The sequence below is a fragment of the Homo sapiens genome, chromosome 9 (genome assembly GCF_000001405.40).
Source record: "Homo sapiens chromosome 9, GRCh38.p14 Primary Assembly".
Classification (NCBI taxonomy): domain Eukaryota; kingdom Metazoa; phylum Chordata; class Mammalia; order Primates; family Hominidae; genus Homo; species Homo sapiens.
In genome coordinates, this window is record NC_000009.12 from 106,895,227 (window position 1) to 106,907,282 (window position 12,056).

Genomic DNA, 12,056 nt, shown 5'->3' on the forward strand with positions numbered 1-12,056 from the left:
ATGTTAGAAAAAATTGAGCTTAGACCACAGCTCATTAGTTAACTCTGGATGGGTCAGAAAGTGGTGACCTGGTTATTAGACAGAGTGCACCAAGCATTAGCTTCTGCCCGTGCTCCCTTCTAAATATCATGTAGGCTTGACCCCTCCTCTTCATCCCCAGTGCGTCGTCTGGCCCAGGCTTCCTTTATCTCTTCCCTGGACCATCTCAGCAGCTGCTTAGCAGCCTGTTTCCCACCATCCTCTTCACCTCTAGGAGTCCCTCATGATGCTAGCAAAATAATCTTGATAGGGCACAGCTTTCGTTATATCACATTGCCCTGATTAAGGATGATAAGAGATCCCTGTTTCTGTCCGAATGAAGGGAGGGAGGGAAGGCTCTGACATTTGAAACTGGATAGATCTTACGTTATTTAATCCCTATGAAATGGATATTTTTTAGTCCCATTATACAGGTCAGGAAGTTGGAGGTCCTGTTGTCTTTCTTTGCTAAAACCTATGTTAGTTCTAGTGACCTGTGCTGATTGCTAGCTTTCAAGAACATTCATGGAAACAAAAACTTGGAACTCCTGTAATGCCATCTTTTTGGGGGTGGGAATATGTATTGGGTTCTTCTTTCTTACATATGTTCATGGAATTATTCATAGACAAACCATTCAGTCTGGTTATGATGTTCACCTCCCCTCTACATCCTGGTTTTATTTACTTATGAGAAGAAATGCAATGCAAAAAAAACAAGAACATTCATTATCTAACCCGCCCTTTCTAGCCTTAAATCATGTCCTTTTCTTTCCCAATGGTCTAATCATAACTGCCCTCTCCATCTCTTTACTTGGAAACTGTACCATAACAATCTATGCCTTATTATAGAGTGTTTGGAATTCTTCATTGTCTGATTTTTTTAATGTTAGTCTCATCCCAACTATATTTTTAACTTCCATGAGAAAGAACATGCCTTATACCAGCCTTCTGTCCCCCTCATTGTTTTTGTTTTTCTCTCACGTCTAGAACCATACTAGCTACGTAGTAGGCACTCAAATGTTTAGTTAGTGGATGGTGCTGGCATGTGGCAGCTGGTCAATAAATATTTGTTTTTGGCTCAATCGAAAATGATTTTTTTAAAAAATGAGGGCAGAGAGCTTCAGATCAATGATTCCCTCTTCACCAGTCTAGATGTGAGGTAGAGTGGACCTTAGCAATGACAGGACACTTCTAAGCCAGACTCAACCTCATGGCGTCTCAGATTTCCCACCTAATCTCGGTTGCAGGATGAGGTGGTCATGGCTAGTAGTCCATATAGCTCCAGAAGGTAATGGGTTATATTGCTTCTAATATTTCCTGGAGTGACATTTAAGATGTTTATTTGTGTTTGGGGGATAGAAGGTAAAGTATATAATCCCCTGAGGACAGAACCTGTGTCCTCCTTAGGGCCTCCTAGAACGAAATTGAACATTAGATCAGTGAGGTCGACTGATTGATGAAATATTTTGTTCAAATATGTGTTTCTGCTAAACCTTGCTGTCTCTTGTATAGGATACACCTGCTCCTGTCTGAAGTTTATGAAGACAGATCACAAGGCATTGACATTTGGTCCACTTGCTAATAGGCAGTTAATGTTCTGTGGTCAGTCTTGGCTGTGCCTCTTTTCTTCACGTGCCAACATTATTTTGTGGATTCATATTAAGTATTTAAACACCAAAGTGATCACACACCCACACATTCCCTAAAATGTGGGCTGACTTGTTGGCCAACCATTCATGAACCTGGGGATTTTTTGAGAGAAACTATTTAATTTGTTTTCTGATTTCTCTGAAAACATTTAAACAAACAGACAAAAATTCCAACTTGTGAAACCCACATACTAATAAAAATCACACAAACATTATAGAAGTTGGAATTCAGAAAAAGTAAAACTTCTTTTCAACCTCCCTTTCAGAGAAAACTTCACCAGTAAAAGTTTAGGGTATATGGCTTCTGGTCATTTTTCTATATTTATATATTTGCATCATATTATTATTATCAGTATTTGAGTAGAAACAGATTATGTATTATGTTTTGCAACTTATTTTTTCACTTAACTATAAACATGAAAGAACACTTCCCCTAAGAATTCCCTTAGTACAGGTTTTGGTATGCAGGAAAAAGAACTAGATGCCTGGGGTTCTTAGCTTTGGTGACAAGATAACTTTGTCTACACTGTTGAACTTTTGCCATCAGTGACCTCATTCTACTTTAATATGTCGATCTTTGAAGACTTACTTTTTTTTTTTAGTAATTCCATGGAAATAAACTATTTGGAGACCAGTTCTTTTCAGTTGTGATGCTTCTCATCCCCTAAATACACCAGTCTTCTGGAATGTAGTAATGTTTTATGAGTAAAAATTATGTTTTGTAAGGGCACTCCTCTTTGTCTGAAGTTCATTGCCAGAGGCAGGGACAGAATAAGGAGCACAGTAATATAATATGCACAAGGATATGAGAAAAGGAAGACAAAGGTAGAAGTATCCTTAAGTTTGAAAATGCCAGATCTGCTAGACAGTCTTAAGACAAGGATGGCATTGAGATTAGGGAAGGAGAATAGAGAGGGAAAGAGGCCAGCAGCAGGGCCCTGCTGATCCATGGATTCGCCTCCAGCCACAAGCCAGTCCCTAGCTCATGGCCATATGGGACTGAGGCTAAAGCCGTGCTCTAATTCTGATCCTCAGCTTCTCCACCAGCCCTCTCCCTCCCCCTACAAACATACAGCCTTGCAGTTCCTCAGCATTAGCAAATGTGTAATTCCTTATTTCGTCAGTGCTAAGTTGCACTTTTCCCCACATTTATACATTTCTCAAAAGGGATGCATGTTATCATCAGTTTATATTTAATGTGCATGGAGTCCTCTCTTGAAACTTTGTTATTAAACTAAGTCTTATAATAACATTTGGAGGAAGAACTCCAAATAGAGGAAGAACAATGTATGGGTTCTGGACTCTGCCTGGAGATGGGTTTGAACAGAACAGAACACAGTCCCTGCTTTCAAGAAACTCACAATGCGCTGTGGGGAAAGAGACAACTAAGTGGATGGTGCTGTGTGAAAATGTTTGGGAGATTCAGGGGTCCCTAGGAAGGGTCTACCCCAGCCTTGAGGTGCCAGGAAAGGCCTTCTAGAGAAAGTGGTACTCAATTGGGTATGATTTTGTGCTAACCCTTCTGGAGGTGGAGGGGGGGTCATTTGGTAGTGTCTCCAGAGAGACAGTTGAAGCACTGTTGGTTGTCACTACTGGGGATGAGGGAAGATGCTACCAGCATCTAGTGGGGATGTCAGGGATACTGCTAAATATCCTACAATGCCCAGGACAGCCTCTCACAATAATTATCAGGCTTCAAATGGGAATAGCACCCCGAGTTTGAGAAACCCTCCTGTAAGTTGAGATTGAGGGATGAATACAAATTGGTGGTGCTGGGGGAGGAGGTCAGGGTGGAGAGAGTCATAGGTGTCCAGGAAAGGGAGTTATTTGGAGGAAGAGTTTGCCATGATGGAGAATGGTACAGAAACAATGGTTTTGTATGGTTTAGAAGCAAAAGTATCCTATTATTGCTCCTAAGAAGGTTGTTGCTGACCATGATGAATTTGGTTTAGCAGAATCAGAGTTACAAAAGCCAGATGTAGAAGACTGAAGGAGAAGTAAGGAACATGAAAGCAGTTTGTGAAAAGGAGGAATTAATGATAACAATGGCAATTGTAGTTAAGTTTTTGTATATGCCAGAAACTATGCCAAATGCTTTATGTTCCTTATCCAGATTATTCTACACAACCCTGTGATATATGGATTACTTGGTATGGATGAGGAAACAGAGGTTTGGAGAATTTAAATAGTTTGTCAAGGATTCATGTAGCTAATAAATCATAGAGTCGGGATTCAACCTCAGGCCTCTTTGACTCTTACCTATAATTTCCCTAGAGAAGAAGTTAGGCCAGAGGGACATGGAGAGAGAGAGAGAGAGAGAGAATGTGTGTGTATGTGTGTGTGTGTGGGGGGGGGGGGGTGTGTGCATGCATGCATGTGTGTTTTCTCCCCTAGATGGGTGAGAGTTTAAGGTGGGGATGACTTAGCTAGTAGTCAAAGATAAATTGAAAATGCAGAAAGGATAACTATCAGACCATCTCGCAGATGAGGCAGTGAGGACTGACTCAAGAGCTCAAGTTAAGGAATCAGCCTTAGATGATGGGACATGGGAGCGCCACTTCCATTGTGGCACGAGGATAAGAGAGAAAAGATAGGTGTCTGTGCAGATGAGGAAGGGAAACCCTGAGAGAAAATGGAATCCTCCTCCTCTTCTCAGTTAGACACAGTGAGCAATGGGAGACAGACTTAACTATGTGAACATCAGATTACTGGGTGGAGTTGAGACCATGAATTTGCAGGGACACCAATCTGAGGATATGCAAAAAGAATTTGGGAGAAAACACTCATTTAAGATTGTTCCAGAGTTGACATTTTTTTCAGATGGTTATGTGGGAAAGGCAAAGGACTGGGTTGCATAACAACAGCTCATTCTCAGGTTTCCCTCCACCTGCTTAAATTCCTTTAGGAGGAGATAGTGTGGCTTTTCTTTTTTTTTAATTTTAATTTTATTTAATTGTTTTACTTTTCCATAAGTTATTGGGGTACAGGTGGCATTTGGTTACATGAGTAAGTTCTTTAGTGGTGACGTGTGACATTTTGGTGCACCCATCACCCACATATACACTGCACCATATTTGTAGTCTTTTATCTCTTGCCCCCCTCCCACTCTTCCCCCCAAGTCCCCAAAGTCCATTGTATTGTTTTTATGCCTTTGTGTCTTCATAGCTTAGCTCCCAAATATCAGTGAGAACATACGATGTTTGGTTTTCCATTCCTGAGTTAATCACTTAGAATAATAGTCTCCAGTCTTATCCAGGTCACTGCAAATGCTGTTAATTCATTCCTTTTTATGGCTGCATAGTATTCCATCGTGTGTGTGTGTGTGTGTGTGTGTGTGTGTGTGTGTGTGTGTGTGTGTGTATCTCACAGTTTTTTAATCCACTCGTTGATTGATGGGCATCTGGGTTGGTTCCAAGATTTTGCAATTGTGAATTGTGCTGCTATAAACATGGGTGTGCAAGTATCTTTTTCGAATAATGACTTCATTTCCTCTGGGTAGATACCCAGTAGTGGGATTGCTGGATCAAATGGTAGTTCTACTTTTAGCTCTTTAAGGATCTCCACACTGTTACACTGTTTTCCACAGTGGTTGTACTAGTTTAGTTCCCACCAGCAGTGTAGAAGTGTTCTCTGTTCACCGCATCCATGCCAACATCTACTGTTTTTTGATTTTTTGATTATGGCCATTCTTGCAGGAGTAAGATGGCATTGCATTGTGGTTTTAATTTGCATTTCCCTGATCATTAGTGATGTTGAGCATTTTTTCATGTTTGTTGGCCATTTGTATCTCTTCTTTTGAGAATTGGCTATTCATGTCCTTCACCTACTTTTTGATGGGATTGTTGTTTTCTTACTGATTTGTTTGAATTTGTTGTAGTTTCTGGATATTAGTCTTTTGCCAGATGTATAGATTGTGGATGATTTTTCTCCTACTCTGTGGGTTGTCTGTTTACTTTGCTGACTCTTCCTTTTGCTGTGCAAAAGCTCTTTACTTTAATTAGGTCCCAGCGATTTATCTTTGTTTGTATTGCACTTCCTTTTGGCTTCTTGGTCATGAAATCTTTGCATAAGCCAATGTCTAGAAGGATTTTTCCAATGTTATCTTCTAAAATTTTTATAGTTTCAGGTCTTAGATTTAAGTCTTTAATCCATCTTGAGTTGATTTTTGTATAAAGTAAGAGATGATCCAGTTTCATTCTCCTACAAGTGGCTAACCAGTTATCCCAGTAATTGGCTAATTGGATAATTTCAACAAATTTCAACCATTTGTTGAAAAGGATGTTCTTTCCCCACTTTATGTTTTTGTTTGCTTTGTTGAAGATCAGTTGGCTGTAAGTATTTGGGATTATTTCTGGGTTCTCTATTCTCTTCCACTGGTATACGTGCCTATTTTTATACCAGTACCATGCTGTTTTGGTGACTATGCCCTTACAGTATAGTTTGAAATCAGGTAGTGTGATGCCTCTAGATTTGTTCTTTTGCTTAGTCTTCCTTTGGCTATGTGGGCTATTTTTTGGTTCCATATGAATTTTAGAATTGTTTTTTCTAATTCTGTGAAGAATGATGGTGGTATTCTGACGGAGATTGCATTGAATTTGTACATTGCTTTTGGCAGTATGGTCATTTTCACAATATTGATTCTACCCATCCATGAGCATGGGATGTGTTTCCTTTTGTTTGTGTCATCTATAATTTCTTTCAGCAATGTTTTCTAGTTTTCCTTGTAGGGGTGTTTTGCCTCCTTGGTTAGGTATATTCCTAAGTACTTATTTTATTTTTTGCAGCTATTGTAAAAGGGGTTGAGTTCTTGATTTGATTCTCTGCTTGGCTGCTGTTGGTGTCCAGAAGAGCTAATTTGTGTACATTAATGCTGTATCTAGAAACTTTGCTGAATTCTTTTATCAGTTCTAGGAGATTTCTGGAGGAGTTCTTAGGGTTTTCAAGGTAAACAATCCTATTGTCAGCAAACAAACAGTGACAGTTTGGCTTCCTCTTTACCGATTTGGATGCCTTTTATTTCTTTCTATTGTCTGATTGCTCTCGCTAGAACTTTCAACACTGTGTTGAAGTGGAGTGGTGAGAGTGGACATCCTTGTCTTGTTCCAGTTCTCAGAGGGAGAGCTTTCAACTTTCCCCATTCAGTATTATGCTGGCTGTGGGTTTGTCATAGATGGCTTTTATTACATTAAGGTATGTCTCTCGTATGCTGATTTTGCCAAGCGTTTTAATCATAAAGGGATGCTGGATTTTGTCGAATGCTTTTTCTGCCTCTATTGAGATGATCATGTGATTTTTTATTTTTAATTCTGTTTATGTGGTGTATCACATTTATTGACTCATGTATGTTAAACCATCCCTGCATCCCTGGTATGAAACCCACTTGATCATGGTGGATTATCTTTTTGATATGTTGTTGAATTTGGTTAGCTAGTATTTTGTTAAGGATTTTAGCATCTATATTCATCAAGGATATTGGTCTGTAGTTTTCTTCTGTGGTTATGTCGTTTCCTGGTTTTGGTATTAGAGTGCTGCTGGATTCATAGAATGAATTAGGGAGGGTTCTCTCTCTCTCTCTGTCTTGTGGAATAGTGTCAAAAGGACTGGTACAAATTCTTTTTTGAATGTCTCGTAGAATTCTGCTGTGAATCCATCTGGTCCTGGACTTTTTTTGTTGGTAATTTTTTAATTTATCATTTCAATCTCACTGCTTGTTATTGGTCTGTTCAGGGTACCTAATTCTTCCTGATTTAAGCTGGGAGGGTTGTATTTTTCCAGGAATTTATCCATCTCTCCTAGGTTTTCTAGTTTATGTGCATAAAGATGTTCATAGTAACCTTGAATGATCTTTTTGTATTTCTGTGGTATCAGATGTAATATCACCTGTTTTGTTTCTTAGTGAGGTTATTTGGATTTTCTCTCTTCTTTTCTTGGTTAATTTTGCTAATGGTCTATCAATTTTATTTATCTTCTCAAAGAACCAGCTTTTGTTTCATTTATCTTTTGTGTTTTTTTTGTTTGTTTGTTTGAATTTCATTTAGTTTTGCCCTGATCTTGGTTATTTCCTCCCTTCTGCTGGGTTTGGGTTTGGTTTATTCTTATTTATCTGTTTCCTTGAGGTGTGACCTTAGATTGTCTGTTTGTGCCCTTTCAGACTTTTTGATGTAGATGTAGGCATTTAGAGCTATGAATTTTCCTCTTAGCACCACCTTTGCTTTGTCCCAGAGGTTTTGATAGGTTGTGTCATTAAGTTCGAAGAATTTTTAAATTTCCATCTTGATGTCATTTTTGACCCAATGTTCATTCAGGACCAGATTATTTAATTTCCATGTATTTTCATGGTTTGGAAGGTTCCTTTTGGAATTGCTTTCCAGTTTTATTCCACTGTGGTCTGAGAGAGTGCTTAAAATAATTTTAATTTTCTGAAATTTATTGAGGCTCATTTTGTGGCCTATCATATGGTCTATCTTGGAGAACATTCCATGTGCTGGTGAATGGAATGTGTATTCTGCAGTTGTTGGATGAAGTGTTTTGTATATATCTGTTAAGTCCATTTGTTCCAAGGTATAGTTTAAATCCACTGTTTCTTTGTTGACTTCCTATCTTGATGACCTGTCTAGTACTGTCAGTGTAATATTGAAGCCCCCACTATTATTGTGTTGTTATCTCATTTCTTAGGTCTATTAGTAATTATTTTATAAATTTGGGAGCTGCAGTGTTAGGTGCATATATGTTCACAATTGTGATATTTTCCTGTTAGACAAGGCCTTTTACCATTGTATACTGTCCCTCTTTGTCTCCTTTAACCACTGTTGCTTTAAAGTTTGTTTTGTCTGATATAAGAATAGTTACCCCTGCTCACTTTTGGTGTCCATTTGCATGAAATGCCTTTTTCCACCCCTTTAAATTTATGTAAGTCCTTATGTGTTAGTTGAGTCTCCTGAAGGCAGCAGATAGTTGGTTGGTGACTTCTTATATATTCTGTGGTTCTGTATCTTTTAAGTGGAGCATTTAGGCCATTTACATTCAATATCAGTATTGAAATGTGAGGTACCATTGCTTTCATCATGCTCATTGTTGCCTGTGTACTTTGGTTTTTTGTTTTTGTTTTTTAACTTGTATTTTTGTTTTATAGGTCCTGTGTGATTTATGTTTTAAAGAGATTCTGTTTTGATGTGTTTCCAGGGTTTAAGATTTAGAGTTCCTTTTAGCAGTTCTCGTAGTGGTGGTTTGGTAATGGCGAATTCTCCCAGCATTTGTTTGTCTGAAAACAAGTGTATCTTTCCTTCATATATTATGCTTAGTTTTGGGGGATACAAAATTCTTTGCTGATAATTGTTTTGTTTGAGGAGAGTGAAGATAGGTCCCCAATCCCTTCTAGCTTGTAGGGTTTCTGCTGAGAAATCTTCTGTTAATCTGATAGGTTTTCCTTTATAGGTTACCTGGTGCTTCTGTCTCACAGCTCTTAAGATTCTTTCCTTTGTCTTAACTTTGGATAACTTGATGACAGTGTGCCTAGGTGAAGATCTTTTTGCAATGAATTTCCCAGGTGTTCTTTGTGCTTCCTATATTTGGCTGTCTAGGTCTCTCACAAGGCTGGGGAAGTTTTCCTCAATTATTCCCCCCGATATGTTTTCTAGGCTTTCAGAATTCTCTTCTTCCTCAGGTACACTGATTATTCTTAGGTTTGGTCATTTAGCATAACCCCAGACTTCTTGGATGTTTTGTTCATATTTTCTTATTCTTTTTCTTTGTCTTTGTTGGATTGGGTTAATTTGAAGACCTTATCTTCAAGCTCTGAATTTCTTTCTTCTGCTGAGACTTTACAGAGCATTTTGCATTTCTAAAAGTGTGTCCAAAGTTTTCTGAATTTTTGATTGTTTTTTTTCTTTAAGCTATCTGTTTCCATGAATATCTCTCCCTTCTCTTCTTGTATCATTTTTTGGACTTCCTTGCATTGGGCTTTACCTTTCTCTGGTCTCGCCCTGATTAGCTTAATAACTAACCTCCTGAATTCTTTTTCAGATAAATCAGGGATTTCTTCTTGGTTTGGATCCATTGCTGGTGAACTAGTGTGATTTTTTTGTGGGGGGGTGTTGAAGAGCCTTGTTTTGTCATATTACCAGGGTTGGTTTTCTGGTTTCTTCTCATTTGGGTAGGCTCTGTCAGAGGGAAGGTCTATGGCTGAAGACTGTTGTTCAGATTCTTTTGTCCCAAGGGGTGTTCCCTTGATGTGTAGTACTCTCCCCCTTTTCCTATGGATGTGGCTTCCTATGAGCCAAACTTCAGTGATTGTTATCTCTCTTCTGGGTCTAGCTACCCAGCGAGTCCACCCAGCAACAGGCTGGTTGGGGGTTTCTGCACAGAGTCCTGTGATGTGAATTGTCTAAGGGGTCTCTCAGCCATGGATACCAGCACCTGTTCTGGTGGAGGTGGCAGAGTGTGCAATGGACTCTCTGAGGGTCCTTAGCTTTGGTGATTTAATGGTCTATTTTTGTGCTCATTGGCCTCCTGCCAGGAGGTGGCACTTTCTAAAAACTGTCAGCTATAGTAGTGTGGAGAGAGACCAGAGGTGGGCGGGGCCCTAGAATCCCCAAGATTATATGCCCTTTGTCTTCCACTACTAGGGTGGGTAGGGAAGGACCATCAGGTAGGGTGGGGAGAGATGTGTCTGAGCTTAGACTCTCCTTGGGCAGGTCTTGCTGCGGCTGCTGTGGGAGATGAGGGTGAGATTCCCAGGTCACTGGAGTTGTGTACCTAGGAGGATTATGGCTGCCTCTGCTGAGTCGTACAGGTTGTCAGGGAAGTGGGGGAAAGCCAGCAGTCATGAAGGGCTGGTCTCACTCTCACCGTGACCCCCGCAACAGCCCCGAGTCTGTTTCCAGGTGGAGGGCGAGATGGGCTTGAAAATTTCTCTGAGGCTACGCACCTCCCAGCTGCGAGAAAAAAGAGTTTTAGTTCTTCCACACCTGTGTAGTCTGCACGCCGGATTTATGCCCTCCCCGGAGTTCTGGCCAGGAGGCTTCTCACCACGTTTAAATTGTTACAAAGTTCAGCTACAGAGTTCCTTCTCCCTGTGGAGTTTTACCCCCTGCTCCTCTGGCCACCCTCCCAATGGATCCCTGTGATGCCAGGCAGGAATGGGCCGCTTGGGGACCCAGTGAGATCCCAGGGCCTTCCTGCTGCTTCCTCTACCCCTGTATTTCACTTGGCTCTCTAACTTGACTCAGCTCCAGGTAAAGTCGGAAACTTCTGCAAACAGACCTTCAGCTTCTCCAGTGGGGGGTGTGTGTTTGGGAGAGGAGGGTCTCCCTTTCCCATTTCTGCAGCTGGGGCACTCACAGTATTTGCAGTGTCTCCTGGGTCCTGCAGGAGCAGTCTGCTCTTTTCAGAGGGCCTGTGGGGTCCTCTTGGGATTGCTGGTTTGTTCTTGCAGTCAATCTGGAGCTAAAATTCACAATGCAAGCCTCCGCATGCTGCTCTGCCTGGAGCTACAATCTATTCCTGCCTCCCTTCTGCCGTGATAACAGAGATCCCTGCTTTTCCTTTAAAGGTATGGGTAGAGCAATGTGTTGATTGAGAATTGATGATATAAAGATATAATCACCAAAAATTATCTTCATAACCTTAAGGCTGGAGTTTCTAAAATCACTGAATATGGATTGTCTGAGGTTATTGATTTAGAAGTAGTCATTCAAGAATCCCAGACAGGGTGGAAAAAAAGAATGTCATTGTCAGCAGAAGAGTCAACATTCTTAGTAATCTGAAATAAGAAAGTTGAGTTTATTGATAACTAGTACTTTATCAGTCACCCCAGTTGTTTTACATTTGATGATTATTTTTAAATGTTTAACGTGTTGAAATTTGTTGAAAATTTTTCACATCATTAAGTAGAAAATGAAAGTGTTATTCACTTGGGCCCACGCCTAGATAATTTACCTTATTTGTAAATTTTGAAAACTTTATCTCCTCTTTTCTAGTAGTTGTTTCTCTTACTTTGTTTTCTTGTACAAATGCATTGGCTAGCATTTCCACAACAATGCTAACTACCAGTGATAATCCTTGTCTGGTTTTTTACTTTAATTTTTCTAATGTTTCATCATTAAGTATAACACTGAGTTTATCTTGAATTGCATCAAGTGCTCTTCAGCCTCTTTGGTACTGATAAAATTATTATTTTCTTTTTTGACATTTTAATATAGTGGAGTGTTGATAGATTTTCCTGTATTGAAATTGACTTTTCTCAGTCAACCCTACTTGATCTTGGAGGGATATTTGTTTAATGAGCTCCTGGATTTTATTTTGAATTTCTGCCTCAATATTTCTAAGTGACATTTTTCTGCTTTTTACTAGTATTTATTGTGGACTAAGCTCTGTAATCTGTGTCACACT

General features: G+C 39.7%; 1 protein-coding gene across 31 annotated transcripts in view; it reads left to right on the plus strand.

Moving 5' to 3' along the window:
• The window catches only part of ZNF462 (zinc finger protein 462), a 153,477-nt gene that overhangs the window by 35,069 nt on the left and 106,352 nt on the right, over positions 1 to 12,056 (plus strand). For 3 of the 31 annotated variants that reach the window (XM_017014997.3, XM_047423671.1, XM_047423678.1), the window contains exon 1: positions 1 to 11,217. This exon is cut by the window's left edge. The exons of the other annotated variants lie outside the window; for them this stretch is intronic. The gene's annotated coding sequence lies outside the window, so the exon portion shown is untranslated. The remainder of the gene's footprint in view (positions 11,218 to 12,056) is intronic. 31 annotated transcript variants of the gene reach the window in all.